General features: G+C 36.8%; 1 protein-coding gene across 5 annotated transcripts in view; it reads right to left on the bottom strand.

Moving 5' to 3' along the window:
- Positions 1 to 27,880, bottom strand: part of MYO16 (myosin XVI) — a 712,290-nt gene that overhangs the window by 492,876 nt on the left and 191,534 nt on the right. For all 5 annotated transcript variants that reach the window (XM_011521062.2, XM_047430183.1, NM_015011.3 and 2 more), the window contains exon 3: positions 2,399 to 2,469. In XM_011521062.2, the coding sequence (XP_011519364.1) occupies positions 2,399 to 2,469 (71 nt within the window). The remainder of the gene's footprint in view (positions 1 to 2,398; positions 2,470 to 27,880) is intronic.

The following is a 27,880-nucleotide window of genomic DNA, read 5'->3' as shown; positions in this document are numbered from 1 at the left end:
AGAAGTTGCAACGGCTGTGGGCTGGGGCTTGAGACAGATCATGGTGTGGCCATAAGCAGGACTTTGGCTTTTACTTATGAGAGAAGGAAAGCTGTTGGAGCATTTCAGATACAGAAGTGACACGACCCGGCTGTGAATGGGAAACAGTATAGTGCAGGCAAAGATGGAACCTGGGAGAAGAGGAAGAAAGCTGTGTACCCAGAAAAGAGGGATGGTGGTTTAAAACCGACTGGCAGCTGTCGAGGGGATGAGAGATGGTGGTGGTGTGGCTTTATTTCAAAGATCAAGAAAGCAACTGCTGATTTGTTGATTGGGAGCATAGTGATATATGTGTTCATTAAAAGTCAGATACTATCTATATCATCTATATATAGAAAAATATTTGTTAGGGACAAAAATAAAGTAAAAGTCAACAAGTATTTGATTTGGTGGTCTTTACAACTAATTTAAAGATAGGAACTTAATTTTGAAAAATATAAAAATTAACATATCTAATCTCTCTCTCTCTATATATATACACACACACACACACACACAGACACACACACGTGAAGAAGTGACAGTCTCTCCCTGTCCCCTGTGCTCCTTGTTTCCCTTCCAACTCCTCTTCCTTCTCCTTTCCTTCCTCTTTCTCTCTCACACATAAATACACAGAAATAACACTTTCCTAGTAACAGCAACAATGACTTGCACTGATATGTTCATGGAAGAGGTCTGTTTTCTACTGGGACGTGCAAACATGCTGATAACTAGACCTCCCGAAAAACAGGCTTATGGGCGGGCACGGTGGCTCACGCCTGTAATCCCAGCACTTCGGGAGGCCAAGGCGGGTGGATCACGAGGTCAGGAGATCCAGACTATCCTAGCGAACATGGTGAAACCCCATCTCTACTAAAAATACAAAAAATTCGCTGGGCGTGATGGCGGGTGCCTGTAGTCCCAGCTACTCAGGCGGCTGAGGCAGGAGAATGGCGTGAACCAGGAGACGGAGCTTGCAGTGAGCCGAGATTGCACCACTGCACTCCAGCCTGGGCGACAGAGTGAGACTCTGTCTCAACAACAACAACAACAAAAACAAACAAAAAAACAGGCTTACGATATTTGCCATGAAGAGAATATTAATCTATGGAAGACTCTTAGCAGAATGTGCCTAGTCTAGGCTTGCTTAAAATTAAACCTAGGATCTAGGGACTAATGAGACATGGCTCCTTGAAAATATCATGGAAGCCATATGAGGATCTGAGTGTAAAACAGAGACGTTTCATAACCAAAACATTCCAGAGAAGGAAAACGTTACCTTGAAATCTCTCTTTGTATCTATTTCCAGTGCTAGAGAGAAAACGCCTATATTCTTTGGCAAACTGTCTTCTATCACAATATTCTCTGTTCTTTTTCTGTTCTGCTGACTGTATAATAACTTGCATTCCAGATCTCTTGAGCCTTTGGTATACACCAGTTTCTCTTTCATGCAGTTTTTCCCCAATGTTGGCCATAAATTAGAATAACCTGGGAAGTCTTAACAACTCCCAGCGGTCAAGCTACATCCCAGAAAAAATAAGTAAGAATCTTTGTGGGCTCAACTCAGGTTGGGAGTCAGGTGTCAGTATTTTAATAACACCCACATGATCCCCAGGTGCAATCAAGGTTGAAAATTTATGTGATGTTAAGGAGCTTCTGGAAGTTAAGGGCATGACCCCCTCTACTACAGTTTGCTATAATGTGAAGAAATATAGCATTACTTTTTGTCTTGAGAGACAATCATAAATTAGATTGATATCTTACATTAATTTCTATATTTTTCAAAATTAAGTTTCTATCTTTAAATTAGTTGTAAAGACCACCAAATCGAATACTTGTTGACTTTTACCTCATTTTTGCCCTGAACAGAACCAGCAACAATTTCTTGCACACGAATCTAATATATTTTAAATGCAGTTATTTATAATATAATATTTTTAAATGTAGTTATTTATTTGTTTATTCACTTACCCCCTACTTTGTTTCTAAAATACTACAAGGCAGGCTGTATTTGCCTTTATAAGAGCTGGATCACGAGCAAAGTATAGTAAAATTTCATTAGAGGAATAAGGACAACTTGTAGGAAAAAAGAAAGGATGATTGCCTAATACTGTATAATTGATACAATATTATTTTACTTATTTTGAATGCTATTAGTTTTTAAAAGTGATTTCTTTAGGGTAGAAACTCTAGATTATTTACAAACTTCAATACAGTAATTAATAATAATTGCAGCTTATCATCCAAGCCTGTTAATTAGAAACACATCATCTTTCTGATCATCATCTGTGAGATGTACATTTCGTTCCTGGGTTTGAACCTGTAATGTACTCTCCCCCGGGTGTCCCCATGCACTGGCACTGACTGTCGCGGTTCTTACCAGATGGAGCAGGGACCCTCCCGAGGAGACGAGGGTGTGGGGGTCTGCCCCCTCCTTCAGGAGCCGAAGCACTGAAAACAACAGAGAGGAGAATGGAGTTACAGAGAGTCCTTCTTCCACGTGTGGAACCAAATGTGTAGGCTTTCGTTAATATCTAAAATGCAAACAGCTGTGAAAACCAAAGACTACGGCTTCTGTGCCATCTGACCCTATTTATTATGATGATTGGTGGTGTTTCTTGTCATCTTCAAACTTATTCCATGGTTGGGCAACATAATTTCGTATTACAATCATGCAAATGAATGAGAAAGTGAAACAGATTTTTTAAAGTTTACTGTTTCAAAGTGTCTTGTGTATTCATCCATTGTAGAACAGAAAAGCAAAATGATAGAAATTACTTCACTAGGTTCACACGGGCATTAGGTCACTGAATTTTTATTTTTATTTTTTAATTCATTAAGGCCCATTGGCTTAAAGCAATAAAAGTTTACTTTTGCACATTAACCTTCCACTGGTGCCATTAGCCCTTGGCAATGTTTCCACCATTCTCACAAAGCACGTCAGAACAAAGCCACATATATCCAAATTAGTTAAGTCAAATACATCAAACTATATACCAATTACTCGAATAAATTCACAGTTGAAAGGTGACCTGTATTTCCATTTGAACAGCAAAGGTGAATTCATTAGTACACAGAATGCCACAGAGTATTAAGAGATTGATTGATTGTGTTCCATTCTCTGCTACTTAAAATGAAGCTATAAGACAAGCCCCATAGAAAGGTTCTTCAATCCCCCAAGGCACTATAATTGTTTCCACTACTAACAGCAATATCATACTTTTAATAAAATACCATGAATGCATTTTCCACACACACAAAATTAAAGCAACAATTACTCTTTTATTTCATTATTACACACAACTGGACAAAATGGCTCAGGTTCAAACTCATTCCTCACTGAGGCATACTGTCTTCCCATTAACTTTATCTGTAACTTGAAATGTTGCCTGAAGGGGCCTTCTTTCCTATGGCACTCCAATTCTTTTATGTGTTCCAATGTCTAGTCTCTGACTATCTTCCCCAAATCTCACTGCATATCACAGAAGGCAGCATGAGTCTTGGCAGACATCGTGACTATGCAAAGCTTCCTCTCCAGGAAGGCCAAGCTCTTTGACGGTGGGTGCAGTGGGTGTGATGAGGGAGACAGGCCTCCGCCTGTGAGCCAGGTCAGCCTGCCCTGCCCCGTGCATCCTGGCCACGCTTTCCTTACATCAGCGCACCCTTGGAGCACATCCAGAAGAAGTTCCTAAATAGAAGCATGTTCACATCTACTCATTGCCAAGGGACTTTCCTTTGATGATGTTCTTTCTGCAATCAAGGATTTAATTATTTTCATAACCTAGAATCTGCTAACATTGAGTAGTGTGTTACAAAAACATTCTCAAAGGTGGCAAACTTGTAGTATCAGCTGTAACCTGACAGCTCGTGTCGTATTCATTTGCCAACTGGGTTATCTTCTTTCTCTGCTGTTACAAGAAGTTGAGGAGGCCAAGGCCATCTTTCTCTTGTTCTTCACTGTATTTCTAAGAACCGTCCTGTTTCGTGGTATGGAGATGCTCTTCCCCCCACCCTTTCTCTGCCTCCCTTTCTCTCTATATATATATAGAATAAATGAAGGCACCTCTTGCAAACTCATGTACTCACTACTCTTAGTGTTTAAAATCCCTTTCATGAGAATAGAAAGTTCATTTCATACATTTGCCAATGGTTTCCTCAGATGATAGACAGCACTTTTACTCTAGTATTTATTCTTTTAGCAAATGAAATTATCCATCATGAATTAACTAATATTGACTTTTTATATTCTGCAAAGAAATAGCATAAGTGTGATCTCACTACAAAGATAGTGTGAAGTAGATTGTATCATGTTATAATATTAGTAAAATGCAATCAGATTTTTATGCAGAGTCCATTATGCAGACACACAGTGAATTATACATAATAGAAATCAGTGATCCATATTCTTTGGGTTTAGGGTTACACAGGTTTCAGCATGAGACCTGGAAAGCTACTGAACTTTATGTCTCAGTTTTTTGTCAGTAGAACAATGGACAGTTGTACTCATTTCATGGGGGTTTGTGAGAATTAAATGAGACAACATATGTAGCATGCTTCAGGCACTTCTTAAGGATCAATAAATGACTGGAATGACTACGTGCAATAAAACCCCATAATAATATATCATAGAATCCACACTTTAAGATCTATTCTGAATGTTTTCCAAACTTTCTGGTTACTAAATGTTGAATTTAAGTGCAGAACATACGTGAGGCAAATTTAGCATATTAACCTGGAGGATGAGTGTATAATTTATCAAACAAAAGTAGAACAAAGGGGGAAATATACAAGGCAAAGGAGAATGCTGAGCATGGAGAAAGTGAATCTTTATTACCTTTGCTTTAAATACAATCTACTGCATTGTAAGTTCGTGTCATTTAATTATTAATATAGGTAGTATTTAACTGTTTCACAACCAACTCACAAAATTCCTGGAATTTTACCAGTCAGCTTTCAGAAGCTGGCAAGGGAGAGCTCCAGATCACTACAGTGGGCAATCATGAAACTCATAAAGAACATTGCACAGGAATGCCCAGGAATGAGAGCAGGGCTACACTCAAGCTCTTTGAAGGTCCTTTTCATCACAGAGAAACAGGCTAGGAAGAAAGGCTTCTTCCTCCATCCAGCCCGGCATCATCCTAGTGAGAAAAGGGCAATCTGAGTTTTGTTTGTCCTAGATAGGACAGTTTTTTTGAGAGGGCTGTTTGCATGATCAAGATGGAACCATATTAGAACCACAGACTCGATATTAACTGGCTTGCCCATCATTACCATGAGTAAGGACTCAAGAATAAGACAAAGTCGACTACTGGCCAAATAGAGAAATAGGTTATTCTTCGCATATAAAGATAGTAGTGTGAACTAAATTCTATGGCTCTGCTAAGGGTTAAAAACTGGAATTGTAAGAGACCTAAATGTGAAGATACAATGAAGAAAATATCATTTGTGTAATAATTAGTTTATAATAATTTTGAGAAGAAAATTATGAAACGAATACATGTTGAACATCTTTGGTATAACCCTGTACTGAGTACCTTACGTGTAAGAATTACTTTAATTCCCTCCACACCTCTATAATACAGACACTATAATCGTCACTCTTTCTTTTACTAATAAGGAAGCTGAGGCTCTGTTACATTACGTGGTTCCCTGAAGCTGTAGGTACATGATGGAGCTAGAACTCAAGTGTAGCAACAGGACTCCAGTGATTGTGCCCTTAACCCCAAACGGCATCAGAGAGTAAAACTTCAAAATCACAGCCAGGATCAAGATCCATTTTATTGGCCTCAGAATTACTAATTGTGTGGGAAATTACCCAAATTTCTGTTAAAATACTTTATCCAAAAAGGTACGGGTTCATAGCAACTTTGTAATAACATGATTGGAGCGGCCAGTCAAGTGAAACGGCAGCACCACTCTGAATCTTTCTGTTATGACAAAATCGGCAAGGAAACAGCCTAAGGAAAACAGCCATCTGGGGACCAAATAGAATAACGAAGCGCAGGCTTCCTTTTATAGTGTTGCCGCTTGGAAGGGATTCAGCATTTATTGTATATTTGTGGCTTCATCATCAAGCTGCAGCAGAACTCCATCGAGATGCCTGTGGGAGGGGGTGGGGGGGCATGATTTGATATTTAAAAAGAAACATTCATTCTCCAAATTTTCAGCTATTAGGGTAAAAAATGGACTAAAATATATCATAAAATTTGCTAAGTAGCTTTAATAGACTACACAGCTGCTTCCCACCATCACCAACAATAACCAATCACAATAGTCCACCTGGTTGTCAGCATTTATTTTGTGTTTCTAGATACTGTATTGCCACCATTTATCTGTAAGGTCTTTGGAGACCCCATTAGCTAGTGTGGACATGTGACTGCATAGCAATCTATACCTCCTCTCACACAATCTCCACCACAGTGGCTCTTGAATTCACAAAGGTGTTACATTTAACATCAACAGAGGAAAGGAAGATAAAACTAAGCATACCTGCGTTCTCAATTCTGTTCCTGTTATAAGCCCTGCAGAAGACAGTTTCCAGACAGAGGGAAGGACAATCACAGGTGATAAGAAGTTAGCAATTGGTAAACCTGGTTAGAGGGGATATGGGAGTTCTTGTGTTACCTGGGAAAGTTTTCTGTAAGTTTGATTTTATTTCTAAATAAAGAAGTTACAATGAATAACAACAAAGTATCAAGCCAGTGTCATTTTTTTCCTCCTGAAATGATAATGAAAACATCAATGTGAAGACTTCTAAAAAAGTATGCCTGAGAATTTCCATACAGTTGATAGTCCTTTGAGAAAGCCTTTGAAAATTGTATCTTATCTCATTAACATGTCAATCAAGAAGAGAAGCAAGAAGCAGGAATATAGAAATTATGTTATCAACACCACAGAAATGTCTATTTGCACAGCAATGCTGCTGAAATACAGATTTCCTTTCCTAAGTAGAGCTCAAACTTTAGGATGTATAAGAATAACTTGAGGATTTTATTAAGATGAATGTTGCTAGTTCCGGGCTTCTCAATCTGTTTTTTATTATCACCCCCTCACCCTCTGTGAAATTGTAATAATACACACAGGCTGGGATATCTGATTACGGAATGTGACCGGATGGAGGGTCACAAAACCATTGCTTTAGCTGAGTTTTTGTCCTCCAAAATCCCATTTTTGCACCTTTGGGAGCTATTTCTGCCCCCATTAGAATCAGGCCCTAGTCCCATCTCTTCAATCCTTTGATTTAGGAGCTTTGTTGTGGGATCTAAAATTGTGTGTTTAAAAAAACACATGCACACACACTGCAGGAGATTCTGGTGCAGATGGTCCCTTTAAGACATTCTGAGAAAAACTGCTAAGATTTTACAATCTCAGGAAATTACCTCTGAACGCCTCATTTGGAAGAGACAGAATTAGTAAGTGGCAAAGACTTGATAGAAGATCCTTTCCCATTAATTTGCCATTGAGACTTTGGCCCCTAGTACCACATGTCCCACAGGATCCCTCAGGACACACAGTATTCTCAATACATGCATATTAAGCTAGACCTCCCTTACATGGATCCGGAATAATCAGGGTGAGCTCACAGGAGGTGCTCATGCTGCAGTGGATGGGGAGGCCTGCAATCAAAGACTGAGTCTGGGCAATGACCCTCGACCCTCACTATGCTTAAGATCCTTACCCAAACTTCGTAAAGATACAAATTGTTCTGTCACCAGGTTATTAAATTCAGGCAGTCAAAGATGTGTCCATTGATCCCTATGTTCCTTGACGTCATTGATTGATCCCTATGTCATTGATCCCTATGTTCCATTGATCCCTATATTCCATTGATCCCTATGTTCCTATAATACTGAGAAGCATAGACAGCCATGGGAATCAGCATCCAAGGACTGTTTAGCTTGTTTCCGTCCAGCCTGGAAACAACAGGGTCATGATAAGAGGGTCTAGCCAGGTTGTTGGAGCTTTGGTGTGCTCTGCCTGAAGTCTTTATTCAAGTGAGCTGCTCAATCACACCTTATGTGATTGCTTCTGATTTGATTCAGATCCACATGCACTCACAGGATGCTCAAGACTGTTACCAGCCACCCTCCTGGACAAGGAGACCCATGAGGGCTGGGCATGAAGTCAAGGCTGCATTAGGTTCCAGCCTTGGCAAGGGAATTTGGGCCAATTAGCTTGAAGCACCCCGGAATCAAGCACTAGCCGAGACCCACCTTAGCCCCAGAGACCTCACAGTCTTCAACCAGTTAAAATTCATTTCATGTCACTTTGGCCATGGCTTTCAGACTTCTTTTTTCCCACTCAACTTGATCAAAACTGGACCTGACTAAATCCTGAAGACTGTAAGCCAAGTCCAAGGTCTTCGTGGCCAGGTTGACCCAGATTCTCCAATCCCAATCCAGTGTGCAGTTATGACAAATGAAACAAATTTTTAGTGAGCATCCTTTATGTACTAATAGTTAGCACTATCCCAAGAGGTGCAGATGTACAGAGAAGAAATAGAAAACAATCTTACCTTCATAGAGTGTATAATCTAGTTGGCACTGGTACTGGAGAAGACGGAGGACAAAAGGGATCACAATTACATATTAGAAGGATTTGCAGTGCTTCTTGAATCACTGGCTAAATATCTTGAATTTGTTCTGAAAACCGAATTACCATTTTTCCCTTCAAATGTTACTTGTAACCCATTTCATTCCTTCTCCTCCTCAAGGATCACACTGAGATATATGTTCAGCATTATCATCATGTTCCTTATATCTCTTAGGCCTTTCTTTGCTTTCTCTCAATATATTACCCTGGATATTTTCTACTGCCCTGCCACAATATGAAATCCTTTTCAGCCACGTACAATCAACTGTTCAGCCCATCAATTCAATTTTAATTTGTCACATTATTTTTTAGTCCTACACTTTCCATTTGATACTTTCATATAGATTTTAATTACCTGGTAGAAGGTTTTATCATTATTTCTTGTACATGTTGGTTGGAGTTATTACGAAATCAAATCTGATAACTATATCATGTGCATCAGCTATGAGTCAGTTTCAATTTACTATGGTTTCTCTTGATCTTATATTTCAGTATGCCTGTAGTTACTGATATTATTATTATTTGATTGGTCATATAGAGTGTGTTAGGCTGTATTCCTTCCTGTTCATATTTTTAAAAGCATTTATGAAAACTAGTATTAATTCTTCTTTAAGCATTTGGAAGAAATCCTCCATGAAGCCATGTGTGCCTGGGTTTTCCTTTGTGGAAAGATTTTATTAATTAAATCTATTCGATATAAGCCTATCATGATTTGTGTCTTTCTAGGAATTTTTTCGTTTCATGTGGTTTATCTAACTTTTTGGCATATAATTTTACTAGTATTACCTTTTAACCCATTTTAAGTTTGATTCTAATATACAGTATACTTCCCTTTTCTCTGGGGGATACAGTCCAAGATCTCCAGTGTATGCTTGAAACTGCAGATAGAACAAAATTGTATATATGCTATGATTTTCCTATACACACACACTTATAAAATTTAATTCATAAATTAGGCACAGCAAAAGATTAATGACAATAATACAATAGAACAATTATAACAATATACTGTAATAAAAGTTATATGAATGTGGTCTCCTTCTCTCTTCAAAATATCTTACTGTATTTTGCTCACTCTTATTCTTCTTGTGATGATGAGAGATAATAAAATGCCTGTGTGACAAGATGACATAGACACCGCGATGTTGCATTAGGCTACAACTGACCTTCTGATGATAGGTCAGAAAAGGCTCCTGTGTTCCAGGTGATCCCGGATCACTGAGCCATGATGATGTCAATGGTTAGATAACAAGAGCAGACGATGTTGATGATTAACATGTAGGTAGTGTACACAGTGTATATGCTGGACAAAGAGTTGATTCATGTCCCAGATGGAATGGAGTGAGATGGCACAGGGTTTCACTATGCTATTCAGAATGTTGTGCAATTTAAACTTTCTGGAATTATTTATTTCTGGAATTTTCTATTTTTTATTTTTGGATCAGGATTGATCATAGGTACCTAAAACCATGGAAATCAAAATCATGGGTAAGGGGGCACTATTGTATCTTCTTTCATTCCTGATTTTAGTAATTTTTGTTTTGGTTTGGTTTGGTCAGGTTTTTTTTTGTTTTTTTTTTTGTCAGTTTAGCTAAGGTTTTTCATTGTGTTGATATTTTCAAAGAGCCAAGTTTTGGTTTTATTGATTTCTCTATTGTTTTCCTCTATATTTCTTTTATTTCTACTCAAACCTTTATTGTAACATTCCTTTTATTGGCATTGGATATTGTTCACTACTTTTTTTCATTTTTGAATATAAAAAGTTAGGTTAATTTAAGATACTTTTATGTATTTAAATATAGGCATTTATTACTATGGACTTTGGGTGATTAGGTTGTGTCAATGTAGGTTTATCAATTGTAAAACGTGTACCATTCAGGTGGGGGAGATTAATAACAGGGGAGGCTACCCATGTGTCAGAGCAGGGGCTATATGGAAAATCTCTGTATCTTCCCCTTAATTTTGCTGTGAATCTAAAGATTTTCTTAAAAATGAAATTCTTTTTTAAAATATATTTTTATTATATTTTAAGTTCTTGGGTACATGTGCACAACATGCAGGTTTGTTACATAGGTATACATGTGCCATGTTGGTGTGCTGCACCCATTAACTCATCATGGAAACCATCATTCCCAGCAAAAACGAAATTCTTAAAGAAAGATGAGTGTTTATAGCTATAAAATTCTCTTTAAGAACTGCTTTAGTTATACCTTACATCTTTTAGTATGTAGTATTTTCATTTCATTTATCTAGCATTATTTTATAATATCTATTGTGATTCATTTTTTGATACATTGGTTATTTAGGAGTATTCTGGTTAATGTAGTAGTTTGCTAGGGCTATCATAACAAGATACCTCGGATGGCTAGTTTACACAATGGAAATTTATTTTCTCATAGTTCTGGAAACTAGAAGTCCAAGATCAAGGTGTTGGCAGTTTGATTTCCTCTGAGGCCTCTCTTCTTGGCTTGTGGATGGCTGCCTTCTCACTGTGTCATCACTGTGTCCTCACATGTGACTCTCTGATGGCACACACTGTGCGTGTCCAAACTTGTTCTTCTTAAAACACCAGTCATATTAGATTTGAGCCCACCTTAATGACCTCTTTTTAACTTATTGGCCTCCTTAAATGCCCTGTTCCCAAATACAGTCACATTCTGATTTACTGGGGGCTAAGGGTATAACATATGAATTGAGGGGAGGGGACAGGGAAGGACAAAATTTAGCCCATAATAGATAATTTTTGTGTATTTGTGAATTTTATAACATTCCATCTAGTAAGTATTTTTATTTTCATTCCATTATGGTGAGAGAACATACTTTGTAATATTTTAATTCTTTTAAAATTTATTGGCACTTGTTTTATGGCTTTGCATGTGGTCTGTCCTGGAGAATGTTTCATGCACCCTTCAGAAGAAGGAGTGTTCTGCTGTTGTGGAAGAGTATGTTTGATAAATTTCTGCTGTATATGGTTGTTCAAGTCTTCTTTTTCCTGTTGAACTTTTGTCTAGCTCCATCCATTGCTGTGAAAGGTACTGAAATATTCAAATATCTATGAATGCTCTATTTTTCCTTTTAATTCTCTCAGTTTTGCTTCATGTATTTTGGAACCCTGTTGTTAGGCACATATATATTTACAATTTGTATGACTTCATGATGGAATAATTCCTTTATCACTATATAATGTCCTTATTTTTTCTTTAATAACAATTTTTACATTAAAGTTGAGTTACCTGATATTTACATATGTATTCTAGCTCTTTTTGGGTTACTTTTTGAATGGTATATGATTTCCCACGTTTGACTTTCAACAAATTTGTGTCTTTGAATCCAATAGATGTCTCTTACAGGCAAAATATAGCTGGATGACTTTTTAATCATTCTGCTAATCTCTGCCTTTTGAGTATTAAATCCATTTATATTAATGCAATTACTGATAAAGTAGGATTTATGCCTACCATTTTGCTTTTGTTTGTTATGTGTATTATACCTGTTTCATTCTTCTATGCCCCCATTGCTGCCTTCTTTTGTGTAAACAGGTACTAATTTACATGTCATTTTGATTCTCAAGCATTTATTTTCATATATTATTTATTTTCTCATAATTTCCCTAGGGATTACAATTAATATATTAATTTATAATAATTTAGTTCAAATTAATGTCAACTAAATTTCAAGAGTGTACAAAAACTTTGCTGTTATATAGTCAGCTGTCCCCTCTACCACTACTACCCTTCTAACTTTGGGTCATTATGTTTAAACAAATTACATCTTTATGCATTGTGTGCTCATTTATAACAGACTTATATTCATTTATTTCTGTAATTATGTTTTAAATATAATTAAAAATTAGAGTAACAAAAATAGGCAATACTGTTTTTTTATATTTACTTATGTGTTTAACTTCCAAGTGCTGTTTATCTTTTATGCAAATTCAAGTCTAATGTCTTTCATTTCAGCCTGAAAGTTTCCCTTTGCTATTTCATGAAGGGCAGACCTGTTAGTAAAAAATTCTCTTAGTTTTTGTTTGCAATGAATGTCCTAATATTCCTCCATTTTTGAAAAGTCATTTTCATGGATATAGAATTCTTGGCTGGCAGTCTTCCTTTTTAGCACTTTGAATTTGTCATTTTCTGCATTTTGGCTTCCATGGTTTCTGATTAGAAGTCAGCTGTTAATCTTCTGGAGGAACCCTTGTACATGAAGCATAACTTCTGTATTTATGCTTTCAAGATAATTTTTGCCTTTGGCTTTTCACAGTTTATGTTGTGTCTAGGTATGGATCTGTTTCAGTTTATCTGACCTGGAATTTGAGAAGCTTCTTAGATGTGTAGATTAATATTTTCCACCAAATTCAGCAAGTTTTCACCAATTAGTACCTCCAATATTCTTTCTGCCTTGTCTTTCTCCTCTCATCTGTGACTCCATTATGTACATTGGTACACTTGGTGGTGCTCTACAGGCCCCTTAGGCTGTGCTCATTTTTCTTCATTTTTTTTTTCTTCTCTACCTCAGACTGGATCATCTTAATTGATCTATCTTTAAATTCACTGCTTGTTTTGCCAGCTTAAATACACTTTATTTCTGCTAATGTATATTTAATTTTAGTTACTGTGCTTTTCAACTTCAGAATTTCTATTTGTTTGTTTTTATAATTGTTCTTCTCTATGTGGGGAGATACCACTTTCATACTTTCCTTTAGCGATTTAGACATAATTTTCTTTAGTTATTTGAACATTTTTATGATCGTTTATTCAAAATCCCTCTCTAGTAAATCTAATATCTGGGCTCTCTCAGACACAGATTCTGTTGACTACTTTTTTCTCTCTCTGTGGAACACACTTTCTTGTTTATTTGAATATCTCATAATTTTTTGTTGACAACTATGTTTTTTAGTTTGGTTTGTGCTGCTATAACAGAATGCACAGACTGGTTAATTTATTTTTAAAAATGGTAGTTTATTTTCTAACTGTTCTATATCCTGAGAAGTCCAAAATCAAGGGGCCAGCATATTGTGAGAACTTTCTTGCTGGGTCATCCAATGGTGTAAGGTAGGAAGAAGGGGAGGGCAAAAGGGACCAAACTTATCCTTTTAAAAGGGGGCCACTCCCACGATAACAAACCTACTCCAGTGATAACAGCATTAAACCACTCATGAGGGCAGAGTCCTCATGGCCTAATCACCTCTTATTACTATTACAATGGCAATTAAATTTTAACATGAGTTTGCAGGGGGGTGACAAACATTCCAAACATAGCACTAAACATGATGAATAATAAAATGTGGAGACTTTGAAAATCCGATTCCCTCTCCGCTCCTGGGTAGATTGCTGTTTCTGCTTGTAATTGTTGTTTGGTTGTTTGTTTCATTATTTTTCGTAACTAAATCTGCAATGTCTATATTACGTATCATGTGTAGCCACTGAAATCTCTGCTCATTTATCGTAGTAGTCAATGAGTAAACATATTTCCTTAAATGGCTTGAAACAATAAACCTCTCAGCCTTCGCTTAGGATCTGGGCTTCTATGCTGGGGCATTCCTGTGGTGCTCTTGGAGACAGTTTACATCTTTTCCTTAGTCTGCACTTCCTATTTGTGCAAAGCCTTAAGGTCAGTCCTAGGAGAGAAATTGGGGTCTTCCCAGGTATCTTATGAGCATACCCACAGCTCTGAACATGTGCATAGCCTTCTAGTTCCTGAGGAACACATTGCAGTTTTTCGAAGTACTCTATGGACCTCTCATTTTCCAGGTTTTCCTTCTAAGTGTTTTTGGCCAGCTTCCTGTTTGTACCAATTGTTGCAATACTAAAGGGTTCCTGCTGGTTGTTTTCTACAAATGCCCCAGGGAAAAGGTTTGTAGTGAGCTTTTTCTGAGTCACTTTATATAAAAACAAATCTTGTGAGTGGAAGTTGCCAGATATGTCAAATGATAATTCTCCTAAGAATGGTGTTTTTGGAGGAGATCCAAACCCAGTCTGCAGCCACCAGTGGCTCCGAGGCTGCTGGTTTTCGTGGCTGCCAAGATTGCAAGGCTGCTGGGTTTTAGGGCTATTATAGAGCCGGGGAAGAGAGGATGTGGCTACAATCGTCAAAGGACCACAAAACACTGCTCTTGCCGAAGTTCAACCATTTGTTCCTGAATAAATCCTTCTTCTTCTTCTTCTTCTTCTTTTTTTTTTTTTTTTTTGAGACAGAGTTTCGCTGTTGTTGCCCAAGCTGCAGTGCAATGGCTCAATCTCAGCTCACTGCAACCTCTGCCTCCCAGGTTCAAGAGATTCTCCTGCCTCAGCCTCTGAGTAGCTGGGATTACAGGAGTCTGCCACCACACCCGGCTAATTTTTGTATTTTTAGTAGAGAAAGGGTTTCACCCTGTTGGCCAGGCTGGTCTCAAACTCCTGGCCTCAAGTGATCCACCCACCTCAGCCTCCCAAAGTGCTGGGATTATAGGCATGAACCACCATGCCCAGCCTATAAATGCTTCTTAGATTGTTGGAAGCCTTTGATTAATCTCCAAAGTCCTGAAAAAGTTGATAGTGCCAGTGTTCTCAGTGCTTTATGAAGGACAAATTTTTCAGTGGTCGTCTCTCTGTAACTCCAGGAGCAGTCTCCCCCATTATCTTAAAAACTGACAGAAGAGTCCCTAAAAATATGTATCTCTCATTGAGAAGAAGAAATTAGCTAACATTAGATTGATAGTAATAATTATTATTTTTTGCTGAAGATGAAATTTCCAAGTTTCTGTAAGATGGAAAAAATATTCAAAAGGCTATTGTCAAACTTACATGTTCTACAGAACTTTTAACATATCCAATTGTGGTACAAATTGTCTGGCGGGAATCAGGAATGGTCTGCTTACCGAAACCAGTCATATAAATCATTGACTCTATATATTCCAGGACAGATGTAAAGTGACAGTATTATAACATCATAAACTTGATGGCATATTTCCTTAGCTCTTGATGTAGAAGTAGTAAATCCAGGATGCATGCAATATAAATACATGCTTCCCTTCTTATTTTCTCTCTATATAATGCTCTGACAATTTATGTTATGTAAGTTTAAAATGCTCTTTTTTATGCCAAATTTTAGAAATAAACAGTTTCAAAAAATGACTCACTTTTACAAATAAACAAAAAGAACTGACATAACTACTAATCTGGAATTTTGTTTGTATCTTGAGATAATAAAAACAAAAATAAAGAACACCATGCCAATATCTGTGGAAGTTATTAAAATGTGAGTAAAATGTTATTTGTAATGGCTATATATACATACGTAATAACTATATATACATAAATACATATATGTGTATATATGTAATAACTATATATACATGTGTGTATATAGTATATATGGTATACATATGCATATATGTAATAACTATATATATGTGTATATACACACACACATATATATATATATAGAGAGAGAGAGAGAGAGAGACAGAGAGAGACAGTCTTTTAAAAGTAAGTCAAGTGGGAGAGAAATATCTCAGTATGTCACTGCCCACTCCTTAAGGCTAACCTGGGAATCAAAAGGACTGTATCACAGTGCTGTTTGTGGCACTTACTATGCTCTTTGAGTTTTTGGGTGGGCCTCAGTTCCCTCATTTGTAAAACTGTGATGAAAGTATGATATTATTGTGAGAAATAAGGTACCATATAAATATTATGGATGATTATTGCTTAGTCAATTTTGGGGACAGGACGAAAGCTTAAAGGAGGCAGTAGAGACTCTTTGAGAAAGCTTTTCAAAAAGGCGAGAATTATTGAGCATGTGGCTTTAGAAGCAAAGCTTCTGTGGTAGAAATCTCAAATAGAACTTGCAGGTTAAACTGGTTGTTTCTCACTCTCCTTTCCATTCAAACATGTCTTTTAGTCCTATCTGAAAAATGTCATTATGGAACTGAGGTCACACCCCACCCTGCAGTTTCATCATGCATTTCCTTTTATCTTAGATAATTCTATGACATCCTTATCTTGTCAGGTTTTAATTAATCAGGGAGTCTTAGTGCTCATATAGCCTTTGTGTGTTTGTCTGATGTGAGATTTGAGAAAAATCCACAGGATCACAAGATTTCCCAAACCCTCAGGAATAAGATACAATCACCATGTGAAATATCAAAGGATACATTTCAAATTGGGAACGGAAATCACATCTCAAGTTTTATTTATCTCATTTATTCTCTAATAACCACTGTACATATCTGTCCACACTCCTTTTCTGAACATTACCTCCTTTAGCTGTTCAGAAAGGGGTCCTCCTGCATATCTAGCATCTTTATTCTCTGAATACCACTGAGTGGACCTGGACATCTGACCCCAGTTGGGCGTGATGGATTCTCCAGCTGGAAATTTGGAATTGGGACACAGAGACTAGTTACTTAATTATCGGTGCTGGACATGGAAGGTGACCTAAGTGCCATAATAGCTTACATGCAAATAAGAGCACAATCTGCAGAGGAGGAATGAAGGCAGAGGGAGAAAGAAGAGAGCGAGGTCGGGCACGGTGGCTCACACCTGTAATCCCAGCACTTTGGGAGGCCAAGGCGGGTGGATCACTTGAGGCCAGGAGTTCAAGACCAGCCTTGGCAACATAGCAAAACCCTGTTTGTACTAAAAATACAAAAATTAGCCAGGTGTGGTGGTGCACGCCTGTAGCCCCAGCTACTGGGGAGGCTGAGGCAGGAGAATTGCTTGAACCCTGGAGGCAGAGGTTGCAGTTAGCTGGGATCACACCACTGCACTCCAGCCTGGGTGACAAAGTGAGGTTCTGTCTCAAAAAAAAGAAAAAAGAAAAAGAAAGAAAAAGAGTAATACACATCCCTTTGTAAATAAAGTTCAATATAACTGATCATAAATCAGACACTAAAAGTAAAATCATACAAATTGATACTTAAAAATACTCTTATTTTTCTTTTTATTTCATCAGCAGCAGTGATAGGCATAAATTTAAATCAGAACTTCTATGCAGTTTTCATGTGAGCTAATGCCTTTGTTCTACATTAGATCCTTGTGTCACAATCAATGACACAATTGAACTTCAATTCAAGATGCAACTGGAATTCCTGGAAAAGAAATGTCCTCCCGTGCTGAGTAATCTCTAGACCTCTTTTGGGTGGAATTCTGCAGATAGCTGGGGATAGGACTTTAGCCAACTTCGTGATCACAGTGGAAGGTAAACAGAAGCACTGTCGAGGGGAGTGGGTGGTCCCGGAAGTAAAGAAAGGGCATCTAGCAGCAAGAGAGAATGAAGGGAGGAGAGCCACATGGATAGTGTACTGAACATTCATGGATTTATTGTTGTTGGAGTACTTCTTGTCTGGTTTACTTTTCTTTTATTGTTGTCCTCAAGTCTTTCTCACCAGGTAAATGGACAGACACAACACTGAGTATAGGATACATCACAGATATTCACTCATTTAAATTCATTTTAAAACTGAAATTTCACAGGAGCAAAGTTTGCCCTGCCAGACTACATGCTTTGTGTCAACTGATTCATGGAAGATGAGTAGAAGGGCAGGGTATTTTTTTTTTTTTTTTAATGCTTGAATTCATCCGTGAGTTAAAAATAGAGCAAAGTATTACATGGCCAGAAATCAGATTTATTAGAAAGCTACAGCAATTGAAACCTTTGAGCACTGATCCAAGAACAGACAACTAGAAGAAAGAAACAATAAGGTCCAGAATGAGGCCCACACAGGTAGGGTCTTCTGACTTCCTGCAACTATGCAGTTCCATGTAGTCGAAAAGTAGTCTTTTGTTTTTCAATTGGGGTACAGTGTAATTTATACTTAGTAAAATGTACGAATCTTAATATGCATCTAATTAATGTTTACCTGTATATACACCTGTGTAACTATCATTCAGCTCAAGATAAAAGGAAATCTCCATCATCCCAGGAAGTTCCCTCCTGGTCCTTCCCCGCAGGTATCCCCAGGGACAACCCGTTATTCTGAAGAAATCCACCATCAATGATAATAGTTTTGCCTACACTGGAATTTCATTTAAAGAGAAAAATGCAGCATGTCCTCTTTGGGGTGTCTGGCCTCTTTCAGTCTTGTGTTTGTGAAATCTATCCATATTGTTCTGTGTAGCAATGGTTTGTCTTCCTCTTTTGGCTGTGTAGGATTCCATTATATAAGTATACCATACTTTGTGCATCCAATTCCCCATTGGTAGACATTTGTGTTGTTTCTATTTTTTGTCTATTCTAAATAAAGCTGCTATTAACATTCTTGCACAAGTCTTTTTGTAAAATCATGCAATCATTTGTATAGACACATTCTTAGAGGTGGAATTGCTGGAACATAGGCATAAATTAAAATGTATTAGAAACTGCCAAACAGCTTTCCAAAGTGGCCATATTGTCTTATACTCCCACCAGCAATACAAGAGAATTTCAGCTGCTACACGTTCACAGCAATGCTATCGTCCATGGATTATTGATTATTTAATGAAACCATACTTATTTTTTAAATTCAAACAATTGAAAAAACCACTCTGTGTCTTTAACATGCAGTTAAATATTTTGTGATACATTTTAGCAGTGGTTTCTCTTCTGATTTTTAGAAGTTCTGCATCAGTTGCATATGGTTGTTCCTCCTTTATGTGGTTAACATAGAAAATCACATTAGTTTTCAACTGTTAAATCAACCTTTCATTCCAAGGATCCTGGCAGTGTTCTACTTTGTTTCCTCAGTGGTGGTTATATGATGTTCACTTTCTGGTAAATCATAGTTACACATTTTTGGTGAATTTTTGATGTGTTTTATTTATACCAAGTGAATATAAAATTTTTTGCTATATTACTGTTAAAATAATGAGTACTAACATTTTAGTAAGTAACTGCTTACTAAGTAATATCATTTTTTGGTAAATTGACCTACAATAACTAATATATTTTGCTTACCATGAAAAAAGCCATGATCCACCCTATCGAAATCCCCAAAACTTTTTTTTTTTGCAGAAATTAAAAAGCTGACCCTAAAATTCATATGAGATTGCAAGGGAAGCTGAATAACCAAAACAATCTTGAAAAAGACAAACAGAGTTAAGGACTTACTTGTCATGATTTCAAAACTTATTGTAAAGCTACATTAATGAAAACAGTGTGGTACTGAAATAGAATAAACCTATAGACCAATGAAATGGAATCAGGAATTCAGAACTGATACACCCATACATCAATGTTCAACAGATTTTCAACAAGGGTTCCAAGATCATTCAATGAGGAAGGAAGTGTGTCTTCAACAAGTGGTGCTGGGACAACTGGATATCCACATGCAAAATAATGAAGGTGGTATGTTACCTCACAACATATATAAAACTAATAACTCAAAGAGGATGAAGGACATAAATATAACACCTTAAACTCTAATACTCTGTTTTTAGTTTGTTTGTTTTTTGAAACGGAGTTTCACTCTTGTTGCCCAGGCTGGAGTGCAATGGTGCGATCTCAGCTCACTGCAACCTCTGCCTCCCGGGTTCAAGAGATTCTCCTGCCTCAGCCTCCTGAGTAGCTGGGACTACAGAAATGTGCCACCACACCCGGCTAATTTTGTATTTTTAGTAGAGACGGGGTTTCTCCATGTTGGTCAGGCTGGTCTCGAACTCCCGACCTCAGGTGATCCACCCGCCTCAGCCTCCCAAAGTGCTGGGATTATAGGTGTAAGCCATGGCACCTGGCCAACTCTAATACTCTTAGAAGGAAATCCTCATGGCCTTGAGTTTGGTAATTGTTTCTCAGATATGATACCAACAACACAAGCACAAAAGAACAAAAATGTATAAATTGGACTTCATCAAAACTTTTTAAAAAATGTGCATTAAAGGACATTATCAAAAGAATGTTAAAAACCCACAGAATGAGATAAAATATTTGCAAAGCATATATTTGATAGAGGTCTAGTATATAAAATGTGTATACCAAGAACTCTTAGAACTGCAGAACAAAAAGTCAAACAAAAATAGACAAAATACTTTTCTCTAAAGAAGAGATAAAAACGACCAACAAGACATGAAAGATGCTTGGGAAATGGGATGATTATAATAAATAAATTTTTTAAAGGAACATTAAGTGTTGGTGAGGATGTGAAGAAATTGGAACCTTCTTATATTGCAGGAGAGAATGTAAAATGGTTTCGCCACTGTAGAAAACAGTTTAGTAGTTATTAAAAACATTAAACATGCAATTACATATGAATAAGAAATCCCACTTTTGGCTATAAACTGAAAATAATTAAAAACTGGCAGTCAACAATGAGATGCCATCTCACACCACTCAGTATGGCTATTATTAAAAAGTCAAAAAATATCAGGTGCTAGTGAGGTTGGGGAGAAAAAGGAACATTTTCATTGCAGCACTATTCACAATAGCAAAGATATAGATTCAACCTAAATGCTCATCAATGGTAGAATAGTTTGAGAAAATATGGTACATGTACACCATGAAATACTATGTGGCCATAAAAATGGATGAGATTGTATCCTTTGCAGGGACATGGATGGAGCTGAAGGCCATTATTCTTAGCAAACTAACACAGGAACAGAAAACCAAATACCACATATTCTCACTTATAACTGGGAGCTAAATGATGAGAACACATGGACACATAGTGGGGAAAAACAGACACTGGGGCCAACTGGAGGGTGAAAGGTGGCAAGAGGGACAGAATCAAAAAAACAGCTACTAGGTACTAGGCTTTATACCTGGATGGTGAAATAATCTGTATAACAAACTCCCATGACATGAGTTCACCTATATAACAAACCTGAACATGGACCACTGAACTTAAAAGTTAAGAAAACCAGGTAGTCCAACAAAGACTTACATTTATAGAAGCCCTATCAACAGCAGCCCAAAGTGGAAACAAACCAAATTCTCATGAACTGATCAATGCATCAACCAAGTTTTTTATATCTATGCAATGGAATGTTATTATAAGAAAACAATGAAGTACCAATGCAGGCTCCAACATGAATGAACCTTAAAAATATGCTGAGTGAAATAAGCCAGATACAAAGGTTATATATGGTGTAATTTCTCTTACATAAAATATCAAAAGTAGGGAAATTCACAGAGACAGGAAGCAGATCAGTGGTTGTCAAAAGCTAGAGGAAGTGGGGAGATGAAAAATGACTAATTAATGGGCACAATATTTCTACTTGGGGCTATGAAAATGTCCTGGGGCCAGATAGTGGTGATGGACGCACAACATTCTCCATGTAGTAATGCCACTGAATTATACACTTCAAAATGGTCAAAATGATGAGTTTTATGTTAGGTGTCTTTTACCACCATAAAGAGCCACAATTCCCTGACAATGGTGTTCTTAAACTTTATAAACTTCTTAAGTCATATATTATTTATTATCATTGTAATTTATAAGACTATCTGTATAGAAAATCTAGTGTTAAATAATTTTATTTGCATAAATCCTGTTCAGGTTTTTCAGTAATTCTGAGGTATAAAGACAGCAACTTTGGGGATAATTAAGCCTTCTTATCTGTATAATATTCATCTGGAATTTTTTTCTGACATGCAAGATATATGTACATGTAGTCGTGAGAGTGGCTTTAAGTTCATTGTTATGGTTTCTGATCACCTTAGAATGACTCCATGGAGACGGAGCTAGTTCAAGTCCCATCCACAGTGTGGACATCAGCTTTTAACGGTCTCTACTCAGAGTCAGATAAGTCACATGCTCAGAAGTTGACAATTTACCCAGTTATTTCCCAGGTTCCTAGTTCAATCACTACCCTTCTTTTTGTACTTCATTAATAAGCACATTTTTCTTTTAACCCTCAGACATATGCCCCATTAAGCATTCATAACTGTTGTCCCCAGAGAAGCTCATGTAGAAAGATATGCGCCGTGTGACACATTAAGGAAGAGAGATAAATGCTGGCCCTTAGGACATTATCAATTCCAATCGCAACGTTTGCCAGAGGCTTCAGGATTTGACAAAACTGCCAAAGCCTACTCCTTCCCAGGCTGCTCAAGACCACGGAAGCTGCAGGAGCAATCTATCTGTCAGAGTTAGGCCTTCACAGGAGAGAACTGCCCCACAAAGGCAAAATCAACAGTATTTGATGTCCTCGCATGAAGAGCATTTTATTTTAATTTACTCACTTTCAGTTTTTACCTGAAACATTTCTTAAAATCCCATTTTGTGTGAACCAGCTAGGTTATACTGATGAATACCAAATACCTCAGTCAGTTTCAAAAGTGCTGAGGACATTTCTGTTTCATGAAAAATCAAGGAAATAGAAAGCTCACATGATGAAGATCATTCTTTAAGGAGCAAGTGCTGGCTCAAGAGCAGTATTTTCCTGGTGCCCAAGTCTGATTAGCTTAAATATACTGAAGATTTTCATTTGATTCATGATGTCTTTTTCTAAAGTTCATTATTAAATGTAAACAGTAAGTCAAAAACTTTAGAGGGAATGAGTCAGACTTTAGGAAGATTTCAAAATATTGTTATTGGAAGTGATGTCTTTCAGTCAACTTAGGGACAGTAAAAATGCATCTGCTTTGTTGGGAAAGGGGGCGCTTCCTGTGTTGTCACTGAGTTGTGACCTCTAAACCAAGGACTTGCCCCATATAGAGAATTGTTTCCTAAAGATTCAGAAATATGACCATTTTAATAGTCCCAGCTATTTTCCCGGCTTACCTCTGTTCATCAAATATATCATCAACTTAGTTTGGACTGCAAAAGTCACCTTGCTTTAAACCCAAAAGAATTGGTTGAGCTAGAAATCAGAGTGACTAAGAAAGTGACAAGTATTACTGAATAAGTACATCCTGTATCCCCTTGAATTCAGACGAAGTGAATCCTTATTTTACAAATCAACATGAGAGGCTGAGGCGGGAGGCTCGCTTGAGCCCAGGAGTTCAAGGTGGCAGTAAGCTATGATCCGTAACTGTACTCCAGGCTGGGCAGGACGGTGAGACCCTGTCTCTAAAGAAAACAACAAAACAAAACATAAAAGCAAGTAAACAGTACATTTGTGCTAGGAAATAATTGTTTCTAGTACAAATATCTCACTCTTTCTCTCTCTCTTTCTCCTCTTAATATTTCTCTCTCTCTATCTCTCTCTCTCACAAACACACACACAGACACACACCCCTACACCTCTAATTTATCTACAGGACTCAGATGACCCTGGTTTTCTGGGTTTCCTTCCGTTATTTAAAATACAATCTAATAGGCAAAAACCTGGCAGATTGCTCACAAATAAATCCTTTGTGTAAAGAATAAGTGAAGTAAATGAAGTGGCACCGAGACACTTTCATGAGCCTCATACTTACTTAGGCTACATAAGCATATATTCCATTCAATAAAAAAACAGACCTTTGGGCAATGCCTTGCAACTGTACATGCTGTGAAGATTTGAGGCTGATTCTAACTGGGACACATGAAAGAGCAAATTGAAAAGCCCATATCAATAATAATTTGTTAATCTCTTGCTGTGTTAAAATTAATCAAAACCTACATCTACCATAAGAATCATAATTTTTAAAACAGGAGAGAATGGTGACTCAGAACATGAAGAAGCTTAGTTACATCACAGTTAGGTATGATCCTTAGCAATCTGAGGAATTAATATACTTGAACTGAAACTCTTCCCCTACCCGCCACCTCCACAAATTTCATACCTTTTGGAATGTGTCTTGTGGGGCTATGATACTATTTTTAAAATAGTATTTTATTTTAGAAACAAAATAATTACAAGAAAATTCTTATACTTTTTTCAGTAACATTGTCTATTATCAATATTTGTCATTGACACACAAGTGGAATGAGGTGACATTTGGCCACACTGATGTTTATTACCCAAAAAAGTGCTGGAGACAAATGGTTGCATAAATATTAGATTCACTGCCAACTTTAAAACAGAAATTTAAGTAAAATAAATAAATGGCATTTATTCAATTTTATTTAGGAAGATTTTGCCCTTCTGGAAGTCAGTTAGACATCTATATTTAAAAGTCCTTTTCATGTTAAACTTATGAATACAGCTGCAACTTAATTAAGGCCATAGCATGACAGAAAATGTTGTTCCCAATGTTTCTGCTCCAAAGCACCCCCATAGCTCGTGGTGGCAGCACGACGTTGAGTACCGCAAGACCAAGGAGACTTCCCATTCTTAAGTAGGAAATGAGTTGGGCAGTTAAGATGAAAAAATGGAAATAACGTGCAAAAGAAAATAGCAGGAATTTTAATTTTGTGCAAAGGAAAATAAAGAAAAGAAAGAAAAGGTGAGAAAAGAATAAAGGATGGCTGTTCAGTTGTTGATGGTTGCAGCTCCCAAACCCTCCCACTGAAGTCCAAAGGATTCACAAATCTTGTACAAGTGCATTTTTGTTTTGTTTTGCATGGTATCCACCTTCTGAATCACTGAGTTCGACCTTCATGGTAAACAGAATTTGAGAGTATCTGGTGGAAGGCATTGGGCTTACTTATGTGAGAAATGAGGAATTTTATACAATAAGTGGGAAAAGTAGTGGGACATCAGATGAGAGCTGGTTCATATATACATTTGGCAAAATAACTTAGGTACATATACAACTCATTATATTATACAAAAAGCAAGTGACATGCTACAGTTCCCACTACAAATTGTTAGATGTAGAATCTTGTTTTGAATACTATTTTTATAACATATCATTCCTTGATTAATCGATTATTTTCTGCTGGAAATGAAACAACTAGAAAAATGTAGGCTGTGGTGGAGTTTAAAAGTCTGGTTTGGTATTGTTTGAGCTTTTCGGCTTTAACTTCTTTGCTGCTATTTTTTTTTTTATCTTTTATATTTCAGAGACTCTGTATTTGTACATTCATTACCTTTCTACAAAATGGCAGTTAATAAAATTAGGCAAGGAAATAGATTATTTGTCTGAGTTCAGCATAGCTAAGTTTTGACAATGAAAGTTAATTGAATTCTTACTAAATATGATAATTGCAAAGATAATAAAAATCTCTATTATTCACTTAGAAATCCTTATGGGTCACTCAAGTAAAATGATTTAACTATTATAATACAATATCATAATAAAGTGGGTTCCTTTACAATTATTAGTTTAATTAGCAAGTATGATTAAAAATGTCTGTATATGTATTTAAAGGCAAACATGGACATAGATAACTAAATGTACAGTTATTTAATGTAGCTAAATAATTATACTATTTAATGTATTTTAATGTCCACAATGCATTTTTGAAGGTTCTTTGTGATAAAAATAATGGCATATTAAAAAATTGGAAAATTCAAAATACAAACTATTTCTTAGGATTAGCAGATTTGAAATGCATTTGAACTACGAAAATAAAATTCAATTTGAAAAGCAAATTGTTGTCATATCAACAATGTATGTTATTAAAGATTATCAACTAAAGTTTTAAAATTGTCACAGTATTTTACAGCAATAGTTTAATCATCTCTTCTTCCTTGTAATAATTATAATTTGTATTAAATATAAAGACAATACATACTTACAGTGATCCCTTGACAGTTTATTCATAAGAAAGCTACCATTTAACAATTATTTAGCTGTTGTCAAATCTTTATAACAAGCTCATGAGCCAGTACTAACTCCACTTGGTTAGTAAGGAAACCGAGGCTCAAAGACATTAACTTGACTTGCATCATGCCATTAGGGTACATAAAAACACTGTGTGACTTTTGTAACTCACACATCACTGCTTCCAAAATTGACGGTCTTTCTAAAATATATTTTCATGAAGCACTTTAATAAATTTATACAACTGTGTATTCTTTAACCCATGGCCCTTCAAATGCCCACCTGCATAAAAAGTTCAGGAGAAAAGAAGGAAGAATTCACAGGAAGTCTGTTTTCTGCCTAAATTAACGCCTACTTTGGCACTGAAAATAACATCTATTTATGAAGAAACCTATGGGAAGTCTGTTCCTGACAGACTCAGGAATTGTGGAGCAGCTCTAGCTCAACCTGCAGTTCCAGTGCAAGCATGTAATCATTTGAGTATAAAGAACCTGGAGAATAGGGTGGCGATAATAGCGGGTGAAATTTTAAAGATGAACTAATTCAGTTATGTACAAAATAATAAAATAATAATGAGAATTGTAACTTCTAGTTTTAAAGCCTCAAATTCGTATTCATATGATCTACCACATCGGTACTATTCCTACCGATGAGAAAGTTTAGAAAGTTTAGTTAACGTTTCCGACTTGTTCATGACCTCCTAGGGCATCCTGTTTTCTATGTGTAAATCTGTTTCCTTGCATGGAGCTACATTCTGTTTCTCTTGTAATTTTTTACATGGGGAAAAAAATTACAAGGCTCTTGTAATTAAGGCCCTTGTAATTAGGGTCTTGTAATTTCCTATTTTTTTACAAGAGAAAGAATTACAAAGGCCTTCTTTTACCCAGCTCCAATACTGAACAAACTAAGTCACAATAAGAAGAATAAGCTCTAAGAGTAAACTCTACATGGCAAATGCTTCAGATACTCAAAGTTATTTTGCTTTGAGCTTTTCTCTTCTTTGAGTGAAAAACCTATAGTCACTCTGCCTCTTCCTCATGTAATATGGTTTTAGGCTCCTCATCGTTCTCACAGTCCAAATATCCTTTGTCCCAGAATCTCCTTTCTATAGCTAGATGCACCAAGGCTCTCAAATTATATTTTATTATCCCAGTCCTTCTGCCTCCCTCGTTTTAGATAATGTACTTCTACCAATGCAAACTTTGGATTTATTTATTGGGAAAGGGTAGCACTAATATTACACTGTTCCCAAAAAATCACACTTTATAAATTATTTAACTAATCAGTATTTTGGAATTTACATTCGCCCTTGTTCATTTTTCTATTGTGGGTTAAGTGCGTTGTTCAAATACATCAAGTTCTTTTTAGATTCTCCTTCTACATTCAATGTGTTTTCCACTTCTTCCAGCTACAGACTTAGAAAATGTATATAGCCCAGAAATGAGTGGTTTAAAATGAATGCAGAGCAGAACCCAGGAAGCTACAGGAATTTTGAATCTTAAAGTAAAATTTGTGCAACTATGAGAGGCTGTGATTTTTCTGCAGTTGGTAGATCAGCTCTGGAGGGAGAAGTGACAAGCCTGGTCTGGTTTAAGGTGAAGAAAACATCAGCCTGGAACACACAGGAGGGACTGTGTGATTATAATTATGTAGGATACTGAAAATCACAAGGCCAGAACCAGGGGCTTATCCATACCACTTCTGCCAATGTTATTTATCAAACCCCTGGCGAGAAGACACTGCA

This window comes from Homo sapiens, chromosome 13 (genome assembly GCF_000001405.40).
Source record: "Homo sapiens chromosome 13, GRCh38.p14 Primary Assembly".
NCBI lineage: Eukaryota > Metazoa > Chordata > Mammalia > Primates > Hominidae > Homo > Homo sapiens.
Note: the sequence above shows the minus strand (reverse complement) of the source record. Positions and strands in the feature narration are given on the sequence as shown.